General features: G+C 50.1%; 1 protein-coding gene and 2 long non-coding RNA genes across 5 annotated transcripts in view, besides 7 other annotated features; 2 read left to right on the top strand and 1 right to left on the bottom strand.

The window, feature by feature from the left end:
* The window catches only part of LOC124903876 (uncharacterized), a 33,818-nt gene that overhangs the window by 2,146 nt on the left and 5,448 nt on the right, over positions 1–26,224 (bottom strand). Inside the window, exons 2-4 of one of the 2 annotated variants that reach the window (XR_007065538.1) lie at positions 19,460–19,571; positions 19,140–19,254; positions 17,901–17,985 (exon numbers count right to left, since the gene is read on the bottom strand). This is a non-coding gene — a long non-coding RNA (uncharacterized LOC124903876). Of the gene's footprint in view, positions 1–17,900; positions 17,986–19,139; positions 19,255–19,459; positions 19,572–26,224 lie in introns of those variants that run through there. The other variant, XR_007065537.1, reaches the window with a different exon arrangement.
* Positions 1,962–2,496: an enhancer, noted in NCBI's record as "H3K27ac-H3K4me1 hESC enhancer chr1:23895549-23896083 (GRCh37/hg19 assembly coordinates)". NCBI's record gives its function as "activates a minimal SCP1, AML or CMV promoter by ChIP-STARR-seq in primed H9 embryonic stem cells {active_cell/tissue: H9 hESC(primed)}" and the evidence as "EXISTENCE:reporter gene assay evidence [ECO:0000049][PMID:30033119]".
* Positions 11,741–11,987: a silencer, noted in NCBI's record as "fragment chr1:23886059-23886305 (GRCh37/hg19 assembly coordinates)". NCBI's record gives its function as "represses an EF-1alpha promoter that drives an FKBP-Casp9 reporter gene in an ReSE screen in K562 erythroleukemia cells {active_cell/tissue: K562}" and the evidence as "EXISTENCE:reporter gene assay evidence [ECO:0000049][PMID:32094911]".
* Positions 11,741–12,114: a biological region, named in NCBI's record as "ReSE screen-validated silencer GRCh37_chr1:23886059-23886305".
* Positions 11,855–12,114: a silencer, noted in NCBI's record as "silent region_417". NCBI's record gives its function as "represses an Ori minimal core promoter by ATAC-STARR-seq in GM12878 lymphoblastoid cells {active_cell/tissue: GM12878}" and the evidence as "EXISTENCE:reporter gene assay evidence [ECO:0000049][PMID:35858748]".
* On the top strand, positions 12,054–13,629 carry ID3 (inhibitor of DNA binding 3). Its single transcript, NM_002167.5, has 3 exons — positions 12,054–12,428; positions 12,536–12,620; positions 13,140–13,629. Exons 1-2 carry the CDS (start codon positions 12,129–12,131, stop codon positions 12,593–12,595), a joined length of 360 nt encoding a protein of 119 aa, NP_002158.3. The 5' UTR covers positions 12,054–12,128; the 3' UTR covers positions 12,596–12,620; positions 13,140–13,629.
* Positions 13,055–13,184: an enhancer, noted in NCBI's record as "active region_366". NCBI's record gives its function as "activates an Ori minimal core promoter by ATAC-STARR-seq in GM12878 lymphoblastoid cells {active_cell/tissue: GM12878}" and the evidence as "EXISTENCE:reporter gene assay evidence [ECO:0000049][PMID:35858748]".
* Positions 16,445–16,934: a silencer, noted in NCBI's record as "silent region_416". NCBI's record gives its function as "represses an Ori minimal core promoter by ATAC-STARR-seq in GM12878 lymphoblastoid cells {active_cell/tissue: GM12878}" and the evidence as "EXISTENCE:reporter gene assay evidence [ECO:0000049][PMID:35858748]".
* Positions 16,613–23,061, top strand: LOC105376859 (uncharacterized). 2 transcript variants are annotated; one of them, NR_188656.1, is made up of 5 exons: positions 16,613–17,083; positions 19,482–19,635; positions 19,842–19,934; positions 20,099–20,790; positions 22,112–23,061. It is a non-coding gene; the product is annotated as an uncharacterized LOC105376859 (long non-coding RNA). The 2 variants fall into 2 exon arrangements; NR_188655.1 differs by having other exon boundaries at positions 16,613–17,297.
* Positions 22,112–22,662: an enhancer, noted in NCBI's record as "H3K4me1 hESC enhancer chr1:23875384-23875934 (GRCh37/hg19 assembly coordinates)". NCBI's record gives its function as "activates a minimal SCP1, AML or CMV promoter by ChIP-STARR-seq in primed H9 embryonic stem cells {active_cell/tissue: H9 hESC(primed)}" and the evidence as "EXISTENCE:reporter gene assay evidence [ECO:0000049][PMID:30033119]".

Here is a 26,224-nt window from a genome sequence, read left to right as displayed (position 1 = left end):
GTTTTGCTCTTGTTGCTCAGGCTGGAGTGCAACGGAGCGATCTCAGCTCACTGCAACCTCTGCCTCCTGGGTTCAAGTGATTCTCCTGCCTCAGCCTCCCGAGCAGCTGGGATTACAGTGGGATTACAGGCATGTGCCACCATACCCGGCTAATTTTGTATTTTTAGTAGAGACGAGGTTTTTCCATGTTGGTTAGCTGGTCTCGAACTCCTGACCTCAGGTGATCCGCCCGCCTCGGCCTCCCAAAGTGCTGGGATTACAGGCGTGAGCCACCACACCCGGCTGATATTTAACTTTTAAAAATGGCCAAGCTGTTTTCCGAAGTTTTACCTTCCCATCAGCAGCATATGAGGGTTCGCTGAGATAATTAAACAGGATTATTAACACAAAGTGCTTGGCATAGCGCCTGGTCATAGTAAATCCTCAGTAAATGATAGTTAGCACTAACAGGTTTCAATAGAAACAGGAATAGTTACAGTACCCAGAGAACGGCTGCCTTCTTCCCTGAATAAAGTGGATCTCATAACCACAGTCACTCTGAAAAAACTGACCAAATTCTTTTTTTTTTCCCCCTGGAAGTATGCTTACATTATTTGTGCTCTTTAGCCTGGCATTCAAAGCTCTCCAGATACCCCACCTCCATCTACTTCTGCAATCCTGGCCTGCACCTCTCCACCTCCTCGCTCCTGCCCAATCAAGTGATCTGCACCTGAGCAGCTTTGTTCATACCATTCTCTGCCCCCTTCCCTCCAGTCTTTCTCCTGCCCTGTCTTCACGTACCAAAATCTCATCTGGGCTGGGCATGGTGGCTCATGACTGTAATTCCTTTGGGAGGCTGAGATGATAGGACTGCTTGAGGCCAAGAGTTTGAGACCAGCCTGGGCAACATAGCAAGACCTCATCTCTACACAATTTTTTAAAAAAAATTAGCCAGGTGTGGTGGCACACATCTGGAGTACCAGAGTTTTTCAATTGGTAGCCACTAGCTATGTGTGGCTACAGAGCATTTGAAATGTATCTAGTCCAAACTGAGATGTGCTGAATTAAAGACACGAGATTTTGATGACTAAGTATAAAAAATAATGTAGGAATAATAGTTTTTCTGTGTTCATCACATGTTGAAATAATGTTTTGAATATATTGGATTAGGTAAAGTATATTACTGAAATTAATTTTAAGGCCAGATACAGTGGCTCACACCTGTAATCCCAACACTTTGAGAGGTTGAGGTGGGAGGATAGCTTGAGTCCAGGGTTTTGAGACCAGCCTGGGCAACATAGTGAGACCCTGTCTCTACAAATAATTTTAAAATGAGCCGGGCTTGGTGGCACGCATCTGTGGTTCCAGTTACTCAGGAGGCTGAGGTGGGAGGATCACTTGAACCCAGGACATCGAGGCTGCAGTTTGAACATGATCACACCACTGCACTCTAGCCTGGGCAACAGAGCAAGACCCTATCTCAAAAAAAAATTAATTTCACTGTCCTTGCTTTTTTAACTATAGCTGCTGGAAAATTTAAAATTACATTTGTGGCTTGCATTATTGTTCTATTGGACAGCATTCGTATAAAGCATCAACATCCTAACTCTCATTGAGCACCTATTTCTTAAATTTTTGTATCTGTTATCTGATATAATACAATTATGTGGGGGTGGATATCATGAATATTTCTTTTTTCCAGATAAGAAAACTGAGGGAGGGTGTGTGTGACCTCCCCAAGGTCACAGCTGGACACTGGCAGAGTCAGGATTCAAACCCAAGCTGTCTGACTGCAAAGCCTGTGCTCTTCTTCCATGGGATTTTGCTGCACAGACTACTAAAACACCAAGAGCTTTTGGGGTCTGTCTGGGGTGTCTTTAGCTGGAATTGGGGTATCTCTGTTCGAGAGTCTGTCTAGGGTATCTTTGGCTGGGGTGTCTTTGTTCTTTGAATTAGACCAGTTCTGCATGGTAATGAAGCATGCTAATCAGAAAGCCTGACTGAATGCTTGTCTTTCATAAACACAAAATATGAAAGCAGATTCATTAATATAAGCAATGCATTTGGAACAAATCAGACCTTACAATCTGAGGGTGGAAAAAAAGGCTGAAGGCCACTGGTCCAAACATCTCATTTTACAGGTGGGGAAACTGACGCCCAGAGAGGAAGAAGGGATTCGCCCAGGTTGTCAGGGAGTGGCAGAGCCCAGGGGAAAGCTGGGATTCCAAGATCCAGGGCTGAGTTCCCCACTGTACCACGCTGTCTTCACATGGAAGGTCTCCTTCCTCAGCCACCTGGAAGCCCTTTGTCTTGAACCAGCCCCCTTCCTCCCACTAGCCTGTCCCAAGGACTAGAGAGGAGGGGGCCAGGAGACCCAACTCATTTCCCATAAGGGTCCCAAGGCCACCATCCGGTCCTGGGCCAGGAATTCCTTTCAGAGACTGAATTATACCGGGCCAAAAATAATTCCAAACCCTTGGAGGCTTCCACGAGTCCCCCCATCCCTGCTCCATCCTGGTCTAGCTGGCCAGGCCTCCCCACAGCTCCTCCCTGGGTGTTCCTGGGCTCCCCAGACTTCCCTGCCCAGCGCCCACCTGCACTCACACGTGTGTGGCGGGAGAGGGACATTTAAACAAACTGCCCACACCCTGGCCTGCTTTTCCCAGCCCTTCCAGATGGGCAGGAGAAAGGGCGACAGCGACGGTGCTAAATCCACCATCCCTGGGACCCAACCCAGGAAAGCCACCAAGAAATAGCAAGAGACACGGAAACAAAGAGACACAGAGTGTGTCCCAGACAAAGAGAAAAAAAAAAGAATGTATAGATCAAGATAAAGACCCGGGGAGGGAGACGAGGGGAACAGACTTGAGCAAAAGACATAGAGAAAGAGGTGGAGGACGAGAATAGGGGACTCGCGAAAAGGAGAATTGGAAGGGAAAGTGAGAAGAAAGTAAGGAAATTAGAATGTGAGGAAATTGACTAGGGGAGGAAAAGCAGGGGGCGCGGGAGACGCTCAGCTGGCGGGAGGCGGCGTGCAGGGCGCTGGCGGCGTGGGGCGTGGGGACGCCGGGGCCGCAGGGACGCTGGGGCCGCGGGGGTCCGGGAGGTCCCGGGAGTCCCAGCGGGGGAGGTGCGGACCCTCCTCCCGGCGCCTGGCCCCGCCGCGGCGGTCCGAACAGCCACATTCCTTCGGGTTTCCCACACACTCGCTATCAAAGAGTCCCCAAAGTCCCAGCTTTTCCCGCGCCCCTCCCCCGCCAGTGGCCGGAGAAGCTATTTTTCACCCCCTCCTGGTCTTTAATCTGTTGTGGGGAAAGAAAGCGGCTTTTGTTGGACGAGGGGCTGCGCGGGGGGCGGAGAGGGGGCGCCGGCGATTGTGTGTCCCGCAGCTGCGCGTCCGGGACCGCCGGGGGTTGGGGCCGCCGGGCGCGGGGCGCGGGCGGGGAGGGCCGGGTAGGGCCAGGGTGGGGCCGCCGGGGCGCGGGCAGGGAGGGCCGCGGAAGGTCGGGCAGGGCCAGAGAGGGGGCAGTCAGGGCGCGGGGTGCAGGAGGGGAGGGTCGCGGTGGGTGAGGGAGTGGAGGAAAAGGCCACCTGGGCGCTCGAGCCTATTGTCCTCTTGGCCCTGTTCCGCACCTGGCTAGGAGATTGGGGGAAGATGGACATACACTGAAGCACGCACATAGAAAGCCGCACACCCAGGGAAGATCCTATACTAGACCCGGGGACACATCACACACAGCAGGCTGAAACACCCAGGGAGGAAGACACATAGGCGCACCCCGCGCACAGCCCCCAAGGACAGCCCCACACTCAGACAAGGGTGGACAGCATATTCTCAGGTAGGAATACACTCAGAAACTGAGGTCGGGCGCGGTGGCTCACGCCTGTGATCCCAGCACTTTTGGGAGGCTGAGGCGGGCGGATCACTTGAGGTCAGGAGTTTGAGACCAGCCTGGCCAACATGGCGAAACACCGTCTTTACAAAAAATATAAAAATTAGCTGGGCGTGGTGGCGCACGCCTGTAATCCCAGCTACTCAGGAGGCTGAGGTAGGAGAATCCCTTGAATCCGGAAGTTGGAGTCTGCAGTGAGCCAATATTGCGCCACTAAAGTCCAGCCTGGGCAGCAGAGTGGGACTTCCTCTCAAAAAAAGAAAGAAACTGAGACACACACACACACACACACACACACACACACACACTGCCTGACACCATAAAGTTCTGTGAAACAAAATCCATGTCAAATACATACTTCCTTTTTTTGAGACGGAGTCACTCTGTCACCCAGGCTGGAGTGCAGTGGCATGATCTCGGCTCACTGCAACCTCCACTGCCGAGGTTCAAGCGATTCTCCTGCCTCAGTCTACTGAGTAGCTAGGATTTTAGGCATGAGCCACCACGTCCAGCGAACTTATGTTGTTGTTGTTGTTGTTTTGAGACAGAGTCTCGCTCTGTCGCCCAGGCTGGAGTTCAGTGGCTTGCGATCTCGGCTCACTGCAAGCTCCGCCTCCTGGGTTCACACCATTCTCCTGCCTCAGCCTCCCGAGTAGCTGGGACTACAGGCGCCCAGCACCACACACGGCTAATTTTTTGTATTTTTAGTAGAGACGGGGTTTCACAGCGTTAGCCTGGATGGTCTCGATCTCCTGACCTCATGATCCACCCACCTCAGCCTCCCAAAGTGCTGCGATTAGAGGCGTGAGCCACCGCGCCCAGCCGAACTTACGTATTTTTAGTACAGATGGGGTTTCACCATGTTGGCCAGGCTGGTCTCAAACTCCTGACCTCAGGTGATCCGCCCACCTCGGCCTCCCAAAGTGCTAGGATTACAGGTCTGAGCCACCATGCCCAGCCCCCAGTTTCTTATTAAGACAGTTCCCATTCTCCAGCATTTGATTCCTTTCTCCCGCCAATTGGTGGCCTGGCTCATGCTGCAAACCATAAACTCTGGACTCTGTTCTGCCTCCCAGTTGCTGTGTGACCTTGGGCAAGTCACTTCACCTCTCTGAGCCTCAACTGATATGAGAATTGAGGGCGATAATACATGTAAAATGTCTGGTTCATGACTGGCACTTTGCAAAAGATCCTCCTAAGCCTGCTGATGCTTGGGCCACTTGATTACACTCAGGGATAGCTGTGGCCAGCAGGAGGCTCTCTCTGAGCTGCGCCCCTACCTCTGCTTTCTGGCACCCCCGTATCTCTAGCTCACTGCAGAGCTCTGGCCCGGTTAGGGTCAGGGAAGCCCTTTCCTCTCAGGCAGGGTCAGCTCGGTCCCCAGGCCACATCCCTCCCTTCCCGACCTCTCTACTCTCTCAGCCATTGAACTACTGCTGAGACCTAGGCCAACACATTTGGGCAGGTGAATATTGCTTTTCAAGGCCTTTTTTGGACTTCATCTTTTCTTACCTTGGACCCCATCATTCTAAGGCCTTTCCTGAACCCTGATTAGTGGGGTCCCAAATCCAACCATCAGCATCTGTCTACAGCAAAGAACATTATGCCTGGGAGTCATAGAATCAGTCATCCAGCACAGCCTGCATTTGAGTCTCAAATCCCCCCTCTAAGTTGTCTCCCAAAAGCAATTAATGGGGTGGAACTTAATTCAGTACAACTTTATTAAGTGCCTACTTGGTGCCAGGCACCGTGAAGGATACTGACTCCAGGGAGACAAATAAGACTTGATTACGAAGCAGGTGAGCTGTGTGCCCCACAAGGTTGCGGGGAATGTTCAATGAAACTGAATGAAATTGCTTTGGAAGTAGTGAAACTCTGCATTATGAGTTCATAATTCTTTTTCTTTTGCTGTTTGTTAAGTCTGAGTTAAATTCCTACATAACCTACTGATGCTCTCCAAAGTCTAGAAGTTTCAAACTTTTCCCTTAACAGAGAAATGAGGCAAAGGCTGTCTCTGTACTCATTAGCCTAGAAGTGCAAGGATGAGGGAACCAGTCCTTTTGTGTCTGGACACTGAGCAGCTTGAAGATCTCTGTCTTTGTGTGTATCAGTGTTTGAGCCATAGGCCTGGATTCAAATTCTGATTGTTTTCTCCTTTTCCCCGTCAGCTGTGTGGATAAATCTCTTTGAACTTCAGTTTTTGTTTTGTTTCGTTTTTTTGGTTTTTGTTTTTTGTTTTTTTGAGACGGAGTCTCGCTCTGTTGCCCAGGCTGGAGTGCAGCGGTGTGATCTCGGCTCACTGCAACCTCCGCCTCCTGGGTTCAAGCGATTCTCCTGCCTCAGCCTCCTGAGTAGCTGGGATTACAGGCACCCGCCACCACACCCGGCTAAATTTTGTATTTTTAGTAGAGATGGGGTTTCATCATGTTGGCCGGGCTGGTTCCAAACTCCTGACCTCAGGTGATCCGCCCACCTCAGCCTCCCAAAGGGCTGGGATTACGGATGTGAGCCACCATGCCCAGCTGAATTTCAGTATTTTTGTGGAGAAAATGATCATGATAATACCTACCCAAAAAAACTCGAGGGCCAATTATTAAAATAAAATTTATGAAACTTTGAACACATGACAGTTCCTCAGAAAATGAATTCCCTTCCTGCTTCCCTGTGGGTGCTCAGCCCTCAATCCCAGATGGTCCGTGGGCATTCTGTAGTTACTGCCTGCCTGCTGAAGTAAGGGGTTAATTAACTTCAGGGCGTTGTGGCTGACTGAAGCTAGGCTGACTCTGGGTTAGAAGAGGGAGCTCAACTCTAAAGCTGACTCCTAAAAACAGGAATAGTTACTGTGTACTTGCTTTAAGAATAATCTGGCCGGGCACAGTGGCTCACACCTGAAATCCCAGCACTTTGGGACGCCTAGGTGGGTGGATCACTTGAGGTCAGGAATTTGAGACCAGCCTGGAATTAGCCCGGGCGTGGTGGCTCGTGCCTGTAATCCCAGCTACTCCAGAGGCTGAGGCAGGAGAATAGCTTAGAACCCAGGAGGCAGAGATTGCAGTGAGCCGAGATCATGCCATTGCACTCCAGCCTGGGTGACAGAGTGAAACTCTGTCTCCAAAAAAAAAAAAAAGAATAAACATCTCCTAAAACGTAAGTATGGATAGGAAGGTCTTTGAGGGAGGATTTGAGGGAGGAAAAGCTTTAGATTTCCAACAAATTCCAATGCTTTCTGAGTCTCTCTGCACAGAAAACAATGTTTTCCCCTAGTACCCCAACACTTCGGTGTCTGTCTCCCTACCTAATGGATTTACCTTTGCTTTTCCCTATCTGGTAGAATAAAACCCTCTCAAGTCCAAGCTACCTTCCCAGGAGGTCCTTTGTGAGGGCAGAAGGAGAAGCATAGGTGCAGGAGGATACAGGCTTTGGGAGACAGGCAGACCTGGGTGCAAATCTTGGACCTGCCACTTATCTAGCTATGTGACCTTGGGCAAGCACATTCACCTTTCTGAGCCACTGTCTCTCTGTCTATAAAAGGGATCAGCGGGAAAATGTGTAAGAAGGCAAACAGGACTTGGCAAACAGAACTCAATGAATGATGATGGTGGCGGTGGCGCTGAGTGCTTCTGAGTTAGAGAGTAGCCCATCCTGGAGGCCTTTGAAATCCCCACCCCTGTAAGGACTCATGCCTTAGATCCTGATGCTCCTCACATTCCTGACAACAGCCTCAGCAGGGACCACTCAACTCACTTGGTACCACCTATCCCACTCAACAGGGGCTACATCACATTACAGCACATAAAAATAACTGTTTCCCACACCATTTTCCATCCCTTGTCCCCTTTGACTCTCCCAGCTGTGAGGTAGATGGATGGTATTTTCCTCCCAATTTAATAGAAGAGACAGCTGAGACAGAGTGAAGGTAGGAGAAGTCAGGGCAAGGATTGAGCCTGGTCTTGATTCTGAATCCCCTGTGCTTTCCTTGTATCACCTGAATCTCAAGCAATACTTTGGGCTCCAGACTCTCTGAGGGGAGGAGAAGGAGAAGGGATGTTCTATGTGTGTGACTGCAAAGTCCTCACCACACCTTCTAGGCACTTATGAGCAAGGAGATACATATTATGAAATGTGGCATTTGGGAATGTTCTAAGACCACCCTAATGCTATTAAGAGTGCCGGGCGCGGTGGCTCACACCTGTAATCCCAGCACTTTGGGAGACCAAGTCGGGCGGATCATGAGGTCAGGAGTTCGAGACCAGCCTGACCAATATGGTGAAACCCTGTCTCTACTAAAAATACAAAAATTAGCCGGGTGTGGTGGCGTGCGCCTGTAGTCCCAGCTACTCAGGAGACTGAGACAGAAGAATCGTTTGAACCCAGGAGGTGGAGGTTGCGGTGAGCCGAGATCACAACACTGCACTCCACCCTGGGCGACGGAGTGAGACTCCATCCCAAAAAAAAAAAAGAGAGAGAGGGCAGAGTGGACAGAGAGTCAAATGAGAGGAGGTCTGGGTTCTGGCCATAGGCCAGCTACTGACATCCCAAGTAAACGTGAGCAAGTTTCTGAGGTCCCCATGATCCCCATGTCTGGGACATAAATGGGAAAAAGATGATAGATAGATAATAAATAGAGGCTCAGCTTAGACAAAAAGGCATCTGCAATCCTTGTCATCATTACTTTGACTTTGAAATCAACAATTTAGAGAGCCCACTACCACGAAATTAAAAAATTCTAAAATTTTTTAAAAAACAAAACAGTATAACTTAAAGAGTTCTGCCAACTTCTCAAAAAAAAAAAAATCAGAGAGCACAACATTGAATTTTTTTTTCTTTTTTTTATTTTGGCAGAGGAAGATTGAGTTCCTGGAAATGCTTACAAAATGATTCCTGACACTGGGAGGAGATAGTTAGAAAAAAGAAGAAGAAAAATTATACACATATATAGATAAAGGAAGAAGGTGGAAAGAAAGGGAATAGACAAAAGAAAATAAAGAACTAAAAGAGAAAGAAAAAAAAAGACTTTAAAGGGCCCCAATTGAAGCAACATTATCAAGTTCTCAGCATCTGCAATTCACAAGCCGCTCGCGGTTGGGGCGATGCAGACCCCGCCCCTTTCTCGGGTGTCCGGCGCTCATTGGTGGGGGAGGCAGTCGCCGGCCGGTGACTGCCCGAGGAAAGGTTGCCTGGGACACGCATCCCTGTGTGAACGCATGACGTCCCACCCTGGCGCCAGGCTGTCTGGGGCTGAGTCTTAGATCAACACAGCTGTGGGACCGGGACCCACAGCTGGGCAAAGGAGCGGATTCCTCAACAAAAAATAGGATTGTGAGAAAAGTTCTGAAACAAAAACAGCGCAGACAAAAGCCTTAATGACATCCTTTCATAAAAATAAAAAATGCAAGAGGGGGGAAAAAGCTGGTAAAAGGAGCAGAACTGGGAACAGAAAGTTCAGAGGCATTTGGAATAAGAGGCTGAGGCCCCACCACTGCTAAACAAGTTGCAGAAGGCCTGAGCTAGCCTGTCCAGTCTGCTGTGGGGAAAAAGAAGTCTCTTGGGTTTAAACACTATTCAGTGTTCCTAACCATAACCTGCTTCTTTCAGAATTAGAATCTTAGGCTAGAGAGGACCATTAAAGGGCACTTGCTTCCTCCCAACCTACCCACTATCTTTTTTTTTTTTTTTTTTTTAAAGAGAAAATGAAGCCCAGGAAGGGAGGAAATTCGTCCAAGGGCACACTGCAAATTATTGGCATGCACAGAACAGAATTTTGCTTGCTAATTCCACAGCATCCTTCTGCCTTATGTCACACAGCCCATGGGCATTTCAGCCTGGAAGCATCCTGGGAAATAATAAATGCGAAGGTGCTTTGCAAACCTAAATCACTATACAAGCCTGAGGCATCAGCTGCAGTAGTAGAGGAAGGAAAAGAAGGGAGGAGAATCTGGGTAGACTGAGCACCTTCCACACAACTGGCCCATGCTGGGTCCCCCAGGCAGTAAGAAGACTAAGATCAGATGGAGTGAACACATCAAGTGCTTTGCAGAGAAGAGGCATTCAATAATTATCGAATGAATGAATGAGTAGACCCAATTAGTTCCATTTTATAGATGGGAAAATAGAAGCACCCAGGATAACTCAGCCAAAGTCTACACAATTAGTTTAAACAAAAAAAGAAGAAGAAGAAGAAGAATGGGCATTTGCACAGAAATCTGCCTGGCCCGTGATTTTTCTAGAACCCTCTGGACTTGACCGTTTTGCCACAGAAGTCTGCAAGATAGGAAAAGAAGGATCTTCTCTTCGGTTATTCAGGAGTTCCTACAGCCATTATTTTGCCTTTCCTGACCAAATAGCTGGCACTTGACGGCTGTAGCATGTAAAGACTGACTTGCCCACTCACAGGTTTTCTTCCTCTTTTCTTACTGAAGAGCCTGTCCTTGAAAAAAACATTCCAGGAAGAAATCTTTCTTGGGCCACAGAGCCCTGTGGTTTGATGGAAAAGAACGAGGCTTCAAGACTGGCTCTGCTATTACTTGTAGTGTGACATTGGGCATGTCTTAAATGCCTTCCTTGGGCCCCTCAGCATCTTTCACCTACATATCCAAATTTCACACAACCTTGGACTTCTACAATTGGAAAGGATTTTAAATAATCACTTAGTACCATCGTCTATTTTACTCACAAGGCAATTAAAGCCAGAGTACCTGGGCTTGTTCAAGATTACATGACAAATTATTGTCAGGGCTAGCATGATGAACCCAGGGCTCTCAATTCCCAGTCAGTGTCCTTTTCAACCGTTTTGCGACTCTCTTTGGCTCTGAGCCCCCCTTGTCCTGTTAATCAGTGCCACACATTATCGAACTCTTGTTTCCTGTGTTAATCTTGTCTCCCCAAATTGTGAGATTCTTGAAAGCAGGAGCCACTGTTTTATGCGGAGGGACTCCATAAATATTCACCAATGATTCATTAGGAAAGCAACTATTGGGGGAATCCCACTTGGTCATTTCCAAAATGGAAAGCAGCATCTTGGAAGTGCAGGTCCCCAAATGTCTAGGGAGGTGACAAGAAGGCAAGCAAAGAATCAAAGAATACTGAGCACAGTGTCCTGTTGCAATACAGGACTTAGTTTGCCGGCCCTCTGGTTCCTTTCCTGGTCTTTCAGATGGAGCTGGAGCTACTTCAGCAGGGCTAAGAATAATCAAGTCCAGGTGGCCTGCCCTTCCATAGCAGAAAGGGACAGACAATAGAGCAATGAAATTACCACTGTTTTCTACACAGAGGTGTGTGGAAAGTGAAGAGAGGGGAAGTTAAGAAATTTGCTGACCCAATTGGGTGGGGGGGGGCTCTTAAAAAGGTTTATGTAGAAATTGTCCCATCTGTGCCTCCATATTTAAAACCTTGTCCAAAATTCTAATTGAACTCACAAAGCACAACTGTGCATATATTTAGTTCGTTATGGAGTTTATGGGGCAGAGGGTCCAGGCTCCTTTTTTCCCCATGCAAAAAGCATGGGCTCAAGCTTTCTTCTTTTCCCCTGTTGCTCAAATAAATAGTGTTCTTTGCTCAAACCCCCTTTCCCTCCTCCTTCTGCAATCTCAGCGCCTAGCGCAAATCTGTTTTCTTCATTGTAACCTCAGCTTCACCGCAATTAATTTTTTTTCCCTCTGGTCACAAGATAATTCCTGACGCCAGTGAGTCTGGAGGTCAGACGAACAGCAAATTGGGGAACAAGGCGGCACTAATTCCTTACAAGTTTCCCTTGAAAAATCTTTCGCTTAAAAAAAACGGGGGGTGGGGGGAGCTTCTTTGCTGTTCAGGGATTTATGACCTCGGAGGAGCTGTGGCTCGAACCAGTGTTGGGCTAAAGGCGGACTGGCAGGGGGCAGGGAAGCTCAAAGATCTGGGGTGCTGCCAGGAAAAAGCAAATTCTGGAAGTTAATGGTTTTGAGTGATTTTTAAATCCTTGCTGGCGGAGAGGCCCGCCTCTCCCCGGTATCAGCGCTTCCTCATTCTTTGAATCCGCGGCTCCGCGGTCTTCGGCGTCAGACCAGCCGGAGGAAGCCTGTTTGCAATTTAAGCGGGCTGTGAACGCCCAGGGCCGGCGGGGGCAGGGCCGAGGCGGGCCATTTTGAATAAAGAGGCGTGCCTTCCAGGCAGGCTCTATAAGTGACCGCCGCGGCGAGCGTGCGCGCGTTGCAGGTCACTGTAGCGGGACTTCTTTTGGTTTTCTTTCTCTTTGGGGCACCTCTGGACTCACTCCCCAGCATGAAGGCGCTGAGCCCGGTGCGCGGCTGCTACGAGGCGGTGTGCTGCCTGTCGGAACGCAGTCTGGCCATCGCCCGGGGCCGAGGGAAGGGCCCGGCAGCTGAGGAGCCGCTGAGCTTGCTGGACGACATGAACCACTGCTACTCCCGCCTGCGGGAACTGGTACCCGGAGTCCCGAGAGGCACTCAGCTTAGCCAGGTGGAAATCCTACAGCGCGTCATCGACTACATTCTCGACCTGCAGGTAGTCCTGGCCGAGCCAGCCCCTGGACCCCCTGATGGCCCCCACCTTCCCATCCAGGTAAGCCTCGAAGTCGGGACAGGGCTGAACACCCAGGCAAGGATGCTGCGGGACCCTCGGAGCTCCCGATTGCCTCGCGTAACTCTTCCCTCTTTTCCTCTAATCAGACAGCCGAGCTCACTCCGGAACTTGTCATCTCCAACGACAAAAGGAGCTTTTGCCACTGACTCGGCCGTGTCCTGACACCTCCAGGTGAGTATCTCCTCTCTTGGAGAGGGAGGTTTAAACGGCAAGTCCTGGAGTTGGCAGACGTTTTGAAAAATTGCCACTCACTCGGTTTAGGGAAACTGAGGCCAGAGAGGGACAAGTGACTTGCCCATGGTTGCATCAAATGAATGGCAGAGTCAGTTTCCATGTGATGTGCATTTAAGCCTTAAATGCGCCTGGGCCCTGCCCTCCCGCAGTGGCCGAGGGTCTGGCAAAGTAGACATGGGTCCGACTAAATACAAGTCTTTCTGTTCCATGTTGTATAGGGAGCTGTCTTCGGCAGCCCCCTCCCAGCTAGTGTCAATTCCAAGTAGGAGGGGTAGCGCAAGCTCCGCCTGTGGTCTTTGGCGCCAACTGGGTGGGGGCAGCGTGGGGCGCGGAGTTATCAGCTGGAGGTACAGACCAAGTTTCCTCCCTGGCGCCGGCCAGTCTGCGGACGGCCCCCGCCTCGGCACGCTCGGCGGAAACTGACTGCTCCTTGGTCTTCTTTCCTCCCCCGCCCAGAACGCAGGTGCTGGCGCCCGTTCTGCCTGGGACCCCGGGAACCTCTCCTGCCGGAAGCCGGACGGCAGGGATGGGCCCCAACTTCGCCCTGCCCACTTGACTTCACCAAATCCCTTCCTGGAGACTAAACCTGGTGCTCAGGAGCGAAGGACTGTGAACTTGTGGCCTGAAGAGCCAGAGCTAGCTCTGGCCACCAGCTGGGCGACGTCACCCTGCTCCCACCCCACCCCCAAGTTCTAAGGTCTCTTCAGAGCGTGGAGGTGTGGAAGGAGTGGCTGCTCTCCAAACTATGCCAAGGCGGCGGCAGAGCTGGTCTTCTGGTCTCCTTGGAGAAAGGTTCTGTTGCCCTGATTTATGAACTCTATAATAGAGTATATAGGTTTTGTACCTTTTTTACAGGAAGGTGACTTTCTGTAACAATGCGATGTATATTAAACTTTTTATAAAAGTTAACATTTTGCATAATAAACGATTTTTAAACACTTGTGTATATGATGACACCCGTCTCCATTAAGTACTAATGATGCTTTCTCGCACATGGCCGAATTTTGGGAGCTTTGGGAAAGTGAACTTGCTTATTCTACGAGAGGGAAATGAAAAACTGCCTGGTTGAGAGGGGATGGGGTGGAGAGAGAAGGGTTCATGATGGGAGTCTCATGTCCATTGAGGGATGGGTGCAGAGAAAAGTTCTGGGCTCTGCTCATTATTTCAGAGATGAAACCAGAGACTGGTGCAAGCTTGCCCAGCAAGTTGGTGGCTCAGGCAACTTGAAAGTTGGTGGCTCAGGCAACTTGAAAACTGAGTTTTCATGTCCCTTGAGATCTAGCAGTAGCTTTCCTCTTTATTGTTACTATTGACTATGCCTTTCTAGCAGGGGATGTGGTAAGAGGAGAGCCTCAAGTTTGCTTCACCTGGTGCCCAGGCATGGGTGGTGGTTGATAGACCAATTCCAAAAATGAATAAACTGATAACTGGGCCTGGTTTCATTTCCTTCTTGCTCTCTGGGCTGGCTTCCTTGCGGGCTTCCAAAGTTGGAAAAAAGAGGGAGGTCTCCTGAAATGGATAAAGATTTGGATGCTGGTTGGGAAGTACTGATAGTAATCCCTTCTTTAATGCTAGGTGGTTGTGGAGTCCGACCCTGAACAAGGAATGTGAGGCAGAGACTCCACAGTCCTCATTTCTGCTGGTATTTCTACATCACCTCCATTGGGAACCTATTCTGTAAGCATCCCTATCCCTATTTCAGAAATGGGGAAAGGGAACCTCTGTGGGTAATGCTTCTGAACCAGGTTTTCACAGCCTTTGAGAGGTAGAGATGGGATTTGAACCGTGACTTGATTGTGGTGAACAGGAGCAGGGCTGGGGACTGGCCATTCCTTGAGGCCAGGCCTGGCAGTGGGGCAGAGAGCAAGATCCCAACCCATGCCTTCCCCCACACCCCTGGTGGCTCCCCAGGTGGGCTTCACCAGGTGCCTGGCCTTACTAGAGATTCCTGTTTATGGTATGATCTCATCTGTGTGTTGGTCCCTGGCATGAATTACTTCAATATTTCATAACAAACAGGTCACGTCATCACCTTTAGTGCCTTAACCCTGGTGAGCTTGCTGGGGTGAACAGGGGCATGGGGGAGGAGGAGAACCTCTGGCATTGCCAACCAAACTCCCAGCCTGATCAGTGGTTCTTAACCTGTTCTGTGTCCTGGTCACTCTGATCTGAAGGAAGATATGAACACTCTCTTAAAAAAATACACACACAGTGCAGAGCAATAGCAGACTTCAATCCTCATGTGAGGAACCCTTGCCCCAAACCACCTACAAGGCCTGGGTTGGGTCTATCTTGGATTGTTTTTTAGGTGTGCTGTGCTGGCTTTAGAGACGACCATAAAGGGACATAAATCCCTGCTCTGTCACCTCTTACCTGTATAACTTCAGGCTAGGGACTTTGCCTCTCTTGAGCCCCAGTTTCTGCATCTGTAAAGGAAGCTGATTCTAAGGCAGCGGTTCTGAGGTCCTAGGCCCCACATTACACCATGAACTGCAGTAGAGCCAGGCATTGAGCTCAACGTCTTATACCCTTTTCTGCCACAGCATGTTGCCTCCCGTTTGCTCGGAAGTTTCAGTACCGTGGAAGGCTAAAAAGGGCTGCGGTGGTCATCTGCCGAGTGACCTTGAGCAAGCATTCCACCTCTCTGAGCCATGCTCCTTCTGTGCCCTGCTGCCTCCCAGGACAGAAGATAATGGTGGGAAAGTTCTTTGAAATGCATCACACACCTACGAGGTATTATTAAGCTAATTCCAAGGAAATTGCCTGTCAGGACTCCCAGGACTGAGTTGTTCAGGTGGCCAGGACAAAAGAAAGACCAGCATGCCAATCCATTAGTCATTAGAGAGTGAAAGCAATTTGGCCCTAGGTCAGATAACTCCCAGAGAGGATAGTGTCTTCTGTCATAATCACCTATGGAAGTGCCTGCCAGGTTCCAGACTATTTTATCTTCCATTTTTGTTCTAATCCTCACAAACCACCGTGATGGGTAACATTCCTTGGTTTATAGAAAAAAGACTCAGGCTGAATAACTTGATCACCCAGCAAGAAAGTGGCACACAGCAAGAAACAGTTCACACAGCAAGAAAGTAGCAGAGCAGAGTTTAGGAACCCCAGCTTCCTCTAGCTTCAAAGCTCATGTTCTTGCCTTCTCTTCAAATTGGCTCTTTTCCCTCGCCATTCCCAAAGCCTGGCACATGCTTGGTCCCCAGGGGGTGCTTGTCCCAGGGAGCGCTTGTGGAATGAAAGACCTAGGACTCCCCCTCATCTGTGAAAGGGGGATGTCGGTACCTCCCTTCCATGTGTGTTGTTCGGATAAACTATAAGGCGCATAAAGTATCCACGAGGCTTCCTTAACTACAAGATTCACTGCTGAGTGTCTTGTGCAAATTGTCGCATGCGATCGGATTCAGAGCTGATCGCATCGGCTGTGAAATACAGACATTTGGGAGGTGTCTTTATTTTATAAATGAACTAGCTCAGAACAGGCGAAGTAACTTGCCGGTGGCCACACGGCTTCTAAGTAACAAAGCCAGAATTCAAATTCATGTCTGTGACACCAGAAATGGTGCCCTTTTCAGAAAGCCAGTTATAGCTCTCTAGCTGTGGACGCGCCGGACAACCTTCAATTATCTGTCTTCCCGGCCTCATCACCCCTCGTGGCCACGACTCTTCCCCATGCCCCAGGCTAAACCTGAGAACCTCCTGCCGCGCTCTTTCCCGCAGCGCTGCTTCCAAGGGCTCCACTCTGCCCACTCCCAGACCTCCCCGGAGACAGCCGCTCCCCACCGGCGGCGCTGCGGCGCCCGGGCTGGGGCAGAGCCTCGGCCCACGTGGCCTGGAGCCCGGCAGGGCGGAGCCGAGCCGGCCCCGCCTCCTCCCCGCCCCGCCCCTCCCGGCGCCCCACGCTCCCCCCGCGGGCCCTGGGGGCCGCTCGCAGGTGTTCGCTGGCGCCCGGATGTCTGAGCTCTGGCTCCGCTCTGGCTCCGGCTCCCTCCGCAGCCTGCGGGCGGGGCTCGCAGCCCATCCGGAGCCTCGCGGCGCCCCCGCCGCTCCGCCAGCAGCGCGGCCTCCCGGTTCCCAGCCTCGCGGCCTGGGGGGCCCCCCACCCAGCGGAGTCGCTGACCCCACTCCTCTCCCGCTGCCCCCAGCTGCGCTCGGGCCGCTGCAGCCTCTGCGCACCCCCACCCGCTTCCTGCCCCGTCCGCGAGGCCGCCCTGGATCGCACCCGGTTCCTTCCTTCCTTCGTTCTTTCAGGCAACTCGCATTCCTCGAGCGCCTGCGACGTGCCCTGCACAGGGCCTTCCCGGCCTTCCGAGTGTGGCCCCAGGCCCGCTGGGCTCCTCCGGGAAGCCTCTGCCCTCTCGAAGTCCTTCCCCACCTCCGCCCCTCTGTTCCATGAGGTGCTTCGCTGAGAGTCGAGCAATTTAATTGTTCTCTGATTAGTTCTCCTCTTAGGGGTCAGTCAGTGGCAAGGTCACGGAGTCTCTTTGTGGCTGAGATCGGGGGTCAGAGCGTGGCCGGATTTGGGGTTTCGCCAGCCTGGGGCAGGCTTTAGGGATAAATGTGGGTAGTCAGGCTGTGGGGGTCCGTCTGTGGGCAGTGTCAAAAGCCAAGGTTAGTGAGTCCGTGTTTGGGTAGGGTCGGTGGGCAGTCGGGATCAGGGTAGTGAGACACCTTGAGACCGGGACTTTGGGGGTTGCCTTTGACAAACCAGATTAAGGAGGGAGGAGTTCTCTGAAGTCCCCTGAACTCATATTCACCTCTCGCCGTCGTTGGGGGCTGACCATAGGCGCCCCCCCGCCTCCGCCTTCTGAGCTGTGGAGCTGTGCTTCCATCGGGGGACGCCTCTCCTCACTGCTACCCTGCTTCTACTTTGTGCCCGATGCTGCAGGCAGAAGCTCTCACCCGGCCAGACTTGTCAAAGGGAGCCTGGGCTTAGAGTGAGGGTGGCCAGGGTAGGGAGGCCTTAGGCTTCCTGGGGACCCCTACCCTGAAGCCACCCAGGAAAGCAGATGTTCTTCCTTGCTGTTTAAGTCATTTGTTGTAATTCTGAAGCTTGTCAGGGATGGAAGGGCGGGCCCTTAGAGGTCACAAATGTAGCCCAGAGAGGGGCAGGAACCTGCTCAGGGACACACAGCAAGTTAGTGTTCACGTTGGGATTGGAACACCAGCCTCCCACTTTACTATCCAGGGCTCTTTTCGTGATGCTCTCCCTACCCTGAGTAAGGGTTGTTTTTCCCACTATAGAGATGGGGCAGCGGAAGCCTGGAGAGGCCGAGAGACTGCCTCTTAGCTTGAGGATCTGCAAAAATGAAGTCAGGGAAGGGTGACTTCCCAAAGCATTGTCTCTTGGCATTGCCCACCTAGCCCCCTCCCTGCCACCCTCGTTAGGAGCAAATAGAACAAGGGTGGCCAAGCATCGAGATGAGGCAGGGAGGGAGAGAACACTGTAAGAACTGCTGGGGAAAAGCTTAGCTGGGCTCTTATGGAAACATATGGAACTCATTACCCGGAGTTGAGGTGGTCGCTGGCCAGCTGGCAGTTGGTCCCTTTGGGGCTAAAAATGTGCCTTGTGTGGCAATGAGGGTACCCAAGGCACGGCAGACTCCCCAGAATAACCTCCCCACTCACCGATCCAAGTTATTTCTGAATACTGGTTTGTTTCCTATGCCTGTGCCATTTCTTTTTTTCGTCTTTTTTTTTTTTTTTAACCGAGTCTCGTACTGTCGCCCAGGCTGTAGTGCAGTGGCGCGATCTCAGCTCACTGCAACCTCCGCCTCCCTGGTTCACGCCATTCTCCTGCCTCAGCCTCCCGAGTAGCTGAGACCACAGGCACCCACCACCACGCCTGGCTATTTTTTTTGTATTTTTAGTAGAGACGGGGTTTTGCCATGTTAGCCAGGATGGTCTCGATCTCCTGACCTCGTGATCCGCCCTCCTCGGCCTCCCAAAGAGCTGGGATTACAGGCGTGAGCCACCGCGCCCGGCCTCCTATACCTATGCCATTTCTAGCATCAAAAAAAGGGTTTCAAGGCCGGGCCGGTGGCTCACACCTGTAATTCCAGCACTTTGGGAGGCCAAGGGGGGCACATCACCTGAGGGGAGGAGTTCAAGACGAGCCTGGCCAACATGATAAACCTCGTCTCTACTAAAAATACAAACATTAGCTGGACATGGTGCCACGTGCCTGTAATCCCAGCTACTGGGAAGGGAAGGTTGAGGCAGGAGAATCACTTGAACCCAGGAGGCAGAGGTTACAGTGAGCTGAGCATCTGGGCAACAGAGTGAGATTCCATCTCCAAAAAAAAAAGGGGGTTTCAAGACATGCCACTGTAGGTTATGCAGGGAAGAGATGAGAGATTCAGGACCATCAGGACAGACAACCATATTGCTCCATTCCCCACCCCACATACACCCTGACTCTCTTCATCAGGGCCAGGGGCCACCTGGTCTTACAGTGGTTCCATATCCATTGTTCATGATCCCAGCTTCCACTGAGGGTTCATCCAGGTGGGCCCCAAGGGGCCTAGATGTTAATCCCTGTCAATCACATTTTCCACTGCAGGTTCAACTCCATATACAAAGAGAACAGCAAGAAAGTGTTTCAAAAGAGGCCATTCACTAGTGGGCGGCATTTTACAGTCTATGTGGTAACGTGGACTGGTTGGGGGGTGCTTCCATTTCACCCCCCTCAGGGCTCATAGGTGTTAGGGGACCTGCTAAAGGTCACCCTGGAGTAACTGTCAGAGCCACAGTCTACAGGATGGCCTCCTTACCCAGTGCTTTGGATGTCTGCAGCTGTTTTGAAACTTCATGCAAACCGGTGGGTGCTGCAGAATTGGCCTCTTCCAGCCACAGCAGTAATCCTGTTACGTTCTCTCTGTGAGTCTGGGAAACATACAGACACTGGTTGAAACTTCAGCTTTGTCATTTACCAGCTGTGCTATCACAGGTAAGTTTTTTGTTTTCTTTTTGTTTTTTTGAGACAGGGTCTCAATCTGTTACCCATGCAGGACTGCAGTGACATGATCGCTGCTCTTACTGCAGCCCTGACCTCCCGGGCTCGAGTGATCCTTCCACCTCAGCCTTCTAAGTAATTGGGACTACAGGTGTGCGCCAGCATGCCTGGCTAATTTTTTTTTTTTGTATGTTGCTTAGGCTGGTCTGAAACTCCTGGGCTCAAGCAGTTCTCCCACATTGGCTTCCCAAAGTGCTGGGATTACAGGTCTGAACCACCGAACCGGGCCACAGGTAAGTTATTTGTCGTCTCTGAGCCTCACATGGTTGAATTGATGATTAAATTAGATGACATATGTAAAGCATCTGGTACTTGGTAGGCTCCAGATGACCCCCACCACAGAGTTTGCTGGGCTTGGTGTCAGATTCCTAGCCTTATTCCTTCTTCTTCTTTCCAGAGTGGCAATGTGGTTGGCATGACCCAGTCACAGCACCCCGGGACTCTTGTCCAGCATTGGCGCTCTATATGCAGAGCCCTTTCACTCAGCCTGGCAGCATCTGATCAGCGTCGAAGCCCAGTGGCTTGAGGAATAAATATAAACAGTGCAGAGACTAAAAGCAGAGCTCTGGTCCAGCACATCTACTCCCAAGCTCTGCCACCCTGGACAAGCTCCTTCCCCTCTCTGAGCCTCAGTCTCCTCCCTGTAATACTGTAAGAACCCTGTCCACAGTTGTGTGCCGATATACTGAATGTAAAGCACCTAAAAGCCTGCCAGGACGTGGCAGGCACTCAAGAAGCATTACTAGATTCATTTCACACATGGAGAAACTGAGTCCCAGAGTGGGAAAGTGACTCAGGCAAAGATTCCCTCACAGAACTGGGGATAAAAATCCAGATCTTCAAGCTCCCAGTCAGTGCCTAATTACTACTTTCTCATTCTTGGAATTTGTAATTATTTCATGACAAGTGTGCTTTTGGCTGCTGGAGGGACAGAGCTTCAGAGGTTGTGAGCCTCCCCTGGCTCAGCCTGACCCAGAACCAGCTCACTCATGAAACTACCCTCTCTTGAAGAGAATAGGAGTTGTGGGGAGGAAGAACATAACCCAGAGGCCAGAGAACGTGGAGGCCAGGGTTGGTGTAACTGTGTAGGTAAGAGCAGCAGCTTCGTGATCAGCCAGACCTGCATTTAAATCCTTCTCTGCCACTTCTTAGCTGTGTGACCAGCTACATGACACCACCTCCCTGAGCCTCAGGTTTTCATCTGTAAACTTTCAATGCTACCTCTCCCATAGGGTTGTTGTAGGAATTAAATAAGACAACAGAGGTAGAGTACCTGCTCCCAACTGGCAGCCCTTATAATTTCATGAAGAGGAAGCAAAAGGGGAGCCAGCTACCTTTTTTTTTTTTTTTTTGAGACAGAGCCTCTTTCTGTCACTCAGGCTGGAGGGTGGTAGTGTGATCTCGGCTTGCTGCAACCTCTGCCTCCTGGGTTCCAGCGATTCTTGTGCTTCAGCCTCCTGAATAGCTGGGATTACAGGTGGACACCACCATGCCAGGCTAATTTTTGTATTTTTAGTAGAGACGGGGTTTCACCATGTTGGCCAGGCTGGTCTTGAACTCCTGACCTCAAGTGATCCACCTGCCTCGGCCTCCCAAAGTGCTGGGATTATGGGTGTGAGCCACCGTGCCTGGCCGGAGCCAGCTACTTCTTATCCTCATTCTTGTGTATAAATCTTGTTGTAAACTTTTAAACAATTTTTTGTTTTATTTTTATTGTTTATATTTGAGACAGGGTCTCTCTCTGTCATCCAGGCTAGAATGCAGTGGCATGATCACAACTCACTGTGACCTCGGCCTTCCAGGCTCAAGTGATCCTCCCACCTCAGCCTCCCAAGTAGCTGGGACTACAGGTACCCATCATCACACCTGGCTAATTTTTATATTTTTAATGGAGACAAGGTTTTGCCATATTGCCCAGGCTGGTCTCTAACTCCTGGGCTGAAGCAATCCACTTGCCTTGGCCTCCCAAAGTGCTAGGATTACAGGTATGAGCCACCTCACCCGTCCTTGTAAACTTTTTTTTTTTTTGAGGTGGTGTCTTGCTCTGTCGTCCAGGCTGAAGTGCAGTGGCGCGATCTCGGCTCACTGCAACCTCCACCTCTGAGGTTCAAGCAATTCTCCTGCCTCAGCCTCCCAAGTAGCTGGGATTACAGGCACCCATCACCATGATTTGTATTTTTAGTAGAGATGGGGTTTTGTATTTTTAATAGAGACAGGGTTTCTCCATGTTGTCCAGGCTGGTCTTGAACTCCTGACCTCAAGTGATCCACCCACCTTGGTCTCCCAAAGTGCTGGGATTACAGGAGTATGAGCCACTGCGCCTGACCCTTGTTACAAACTTTTAATTGAACAAACAATGGATAATAGAGATGTTCTAAGATTTGTCTAATGAAATGCTTTGTGTTCCCAGGCTCTTCCACATACTAGCTGTGTGAACTTGGACAAGTGACTTAACTTCTCTTCTCCGTGTCTGCTAACAGTCCCTACACAGATGGTTGTTGTGAGGCTTAGTTACCATACAAAATTCTTAGATTAGTGCCTGGCACATAATAATAACCACAGCCCCCAAATGCTAGTTGTCATTCATTATCTTAACATACCATGTGAAGGTTGTGTTCTCTTACATTCTATAGCCCTCTGTGTTTTAATATAAAATTGTGATGTCTCTCTTTCTTTTATTTGTATTTTTTGAGTAAAACGGACATTTCAGAAAGATGTACCAGATTTTTATCACATGGCTTTGTGAGACCCGACAGCCAGCCAACATCACACACAGTCACATGTGTGCATGCATGAGCACACATGCATGCAGACACACACACTTTGAGAAGGCCATGCTACGCCGGGCTGCTTCCCAAATGGGCTGAAACAAGTCCTCTTGCCCTGAAGAACCGCCTGTCCCCTCTCCCGCCCACTCATCGCGCTCCGTGGAGTGAGGCAGGAAAGGGTGATTGGCTCACAGCAGCAGCATAGCTCTTAGTAAACCTGACTTGGGAGAAAGGCCTGGCTCCAGCTCCTAGCCCAAGTGTCAGAGCCTGGGTCCCAGCACTGGCTCGATGCCCTCTTTTGCTGTGCAACCCTGGCCATGTAACTTCACCTCTCTGAGCCCCAGCTTTGTCATTTGTGAAAGGGAGCTAACTGTTCCTACCTCTCAGGGTTATGAGGATTTGACAGACACATGGAAAGTGCCTGGCACTTCGTTGTTGCTCCATAAATGAGAGCTCTCAAAAGTCTGGCTCATTTTTTAGCTCAGTAAAAGCTATCTTTCATAGTCTTTAATAAAATGGGGCTGGCCGGGCGTGGTGGCTCACGCCTGTAATCCCAGCACTTTGGGAGGCTGAGGTGGGTGGATCACGAGGTCAGGAGATCGAGACCATCCTGGATAACATGGTGAAACCCCATCTCTACTAAAAAAAATACAAAAAAATTAGCCGGGTGTGGTGGCAGGCGCCTGTAGTCCCAGCTACTCAGGAAGCTGAAGCAGGAGAATGGCGTGAGCCCAGGAGGCGGAGATTGCAGTGAGCCAAGATCACACCACTGCACTCCAGCCTGGGCGACAGAGTGAGACTCTTGTCTCAAAAAATAATAATAATAATAAATAAAATGGGCTATGGTCTATGTGCCTTACGTAATTAATAGACTTTATTGCTTTTTGATGTATCTGTTAATCCAATAAAGGTGTTTGTCTTCTAACACTATTTTATTTCATATTTTATTCATATTTTACAATGTCTGGGCAAGTCAATGAAGCCCACTGAACCTCAGTTTCCTTATTTCTAAAATGAGAGAAAGAAAAAACCTTCCTCACAAGGTTGTTTGGAGAATTTAACGAGATGGTATATGTGTGTCCAGGAAGTAAGAGATCATTTTTTTTGCAGCCCGTTTTCTCTCACTAGGCTGAATTTCTCAAAGACAGAAGGGAGTTATTTTTATTATTATTATCATTATTTTTAAGACAGGGTCTCTCTCTGTCATCCAGGCTGTAGTGCAGTGACACCATCTCGGCTCACTGCAACCTCCACCAACAGGGCTCAGTCGATCCTCTCATGTCAGCCTCCAGAGTAGCTGGGACTACAGGGAGAGAGTTTTATTGACCTCTGTATCCCCAGCATTGAATATGTAGTAATACATTTAATAATAGCAGTGACAGTGACAACAACTTTCATTTACTTAACACTTACCATGTTCGAGGCTCTGTGCTAAGTGCCTCTTAATAGAAGGACAAGTAATAGACATGTAAACGATTTGATTTTCTCTGCTGATGATTTAAACATGAAGGAATTGTTTTACATTTCCCTTGGGGAAGTTTTGTATTCCATACTGGAGACAAAGTTTATTCTTGGGCCATGTACGTTGTTTCGCCAAATCAGTTGGATAAAAATTAGAGCAATCCTTAGTTTACTTATCTATAAAATGGGGCTAATGATTAACTTGACTCATGTAAAGGTGTCCCATAAATTGGACATAAATGACAATGGTTTTTGCTTACTCCTTCCTTTCCTCCCCACGTACACACACCCTTCCTTGGGGAAAAGGCAGTGACTAGGAAGGATTTGAAACTGAGTGGCAGAGAACTGAGTCCCTTCGCCCTTCTGGGATTCTGTTTCTCCTTGGCATAGCGTGGGAGATTTTTCTGGAATATTTTCCTGATTCTGAGACTCTCGAAGGCCTAACTTAAGTCCTGCCTCCCTCAGAAAAATCTCCCTTAATTGCCACAGCACAGAGTCTACTTACACAAATACCACATGCCCCTGTGATCACATGTTGCATATTCCAACTGGATTTAAGTCCTGGAAGATGGGGTTGTTGTGTTAGTGTTTTGATTTCTGTTTTCCCAAGCTCGCACTTTTCTTTTCTCCCCTCACCTCCCGTTCCCTCCCCTCTTTTCTTTCTGAGACAGGGTCTCAATCTGTCACCCAGGCTGGAGTGCAGTGGTGCAGTCATAGCTTACTGTAGCTTCAAACCCCTGGGCTCAAGAGATCCTCCCACCTCAGCCTCCTAAGTCTGAGACTGCAGGTGCACACCACCATACCCAGCTACTTTAAAAAAAAAAATGTGTAGAGATTGGGAGGTCTTGCTGTGTTACCCAGGCTGGTCTTGAGCTCCTGACCTTGTGATCCTCCTGCCTCAGCCTCCTACAGTGCTTGGATTACAGGTATGAGCCACTGTGCTCGGCCAAGTACTTTTCTTTTCTTTTTTTTTTTTTTTGAGACAGAGTCTTGCTCTGTCACCAGGCTAGACTGCAGTGGCGTGATCTCAGCTCACTCCAACCTCTACCTCCCAGGTTCAAGCAATTCTCCTGCCTCAGCATCCGGAGTAGCTGGGACTATAGGCACCCGCCACCACGCCCAGGAAATTTATTTATTTATTTTTTAAACGGAGTCTCTCTCTGTTGCCTAGGCTGGAGTGTAGTGGCGGAATCTCAACTCACTGCAAGCTCTGCCTCCCGGGTTCACACCATTCTCCTGCCTCAGCCTCCCGAGTAGCTGGGACTACAGGCACCTGCCACCACGCCTGGCTATTTTTTTTTGTATTTTTAGTACAGACGGGATTTCACCGTGTTAGCCAGGATGGTCTCGATCTCCTGACCTTGTGATCTGCCTGCCTTGGCCTCCCAAGGTGCTGGGATTACAGGTGTGAGCCACCACGCCTGGCCATGCCCGGTAATGTTTTTTGTATTTTTAGTTAGGGTTTCACCACATTGGCCAGGCTAGTCTCAAACTCTTGACCTCGTGATCTGCCCACCTCGGTCTCCCAAAGTGCTGGGATTACAGACATGAGCCACCGCGCCTGGCCAGGTACTTCCTTTTCTTTCGAGGCAGGGCGGGTCTCACTATGTTGCCCAAGCGGGTCTTGGATCCAGGACTCAAGGGATCCTCCCACCTCAGCCTCCTGAGTAGCTTTCATCCTTTATAAGCCTTTCAAAGTCTCCAAGTCATAGATGGAGCAGCTGAGACCCAGAAATAAGAAGGGCCTTGTCTAAGGCCACAGAGTGGGTACAGAGCCAGTCCCACATCCCAGGACCCCATCAACCCACCTGAGCTTAGGAACTCTCTGAGCATTTTCTTGGCACTAGGCTTTGTGCTTATTGCTTCCTCACACCAATTTTATAAAGTGGGTGTTGTCCCACTTTCGCGATAAGGACACGGGGACTCAGGAAGGTAAAATAACTTGCCCAAGTCACACAGCTAGCAAGGGACAGAATCATGACATGACTATCTGACTCCAAAATGCATGCTTTTTAAATACCTGGAGGCCTCTGCAGTTTGGCTGTTTTGGAGCCTCAGATTTGCTTGAGTGGCTCAGCGGACAGCCTCTCTTGAGTTGCTGTAGCAGTAGTGTTGTACCCCAAAGCAAGCAGTCGGTTACCAAGGCTGATCCCTGTGCCCAACTCCCTCTGTCCCAGCAGCTGGGGTCCAGGGGTTCACAGAGCAGGCACTCATGGTCCCTGCTCTAGAAATGATCTGCGTGGCATGCCGCCCCATCCCCAAAGCCCATTGTCTCCCCAGGAGACAATATGGAG

This window comes from Homo sapiens, chromosome 1 (genome assembly GCF_000001405.40).
Source record: "Homo sapiens chromosome 1, GRCh38.p14 Primary Assembly".
Taxonomy (NCBI): Eukaryota; Metazoa; Chordata; class Mammalia; order Primates; family Hominidae; genus Homo; species Homo sapiens.
The sequence above is the reverse complement of the archived record's forward strand: the minus strand, read 5'-3'. Positions and strand labels throughout refer to the sequence as shown.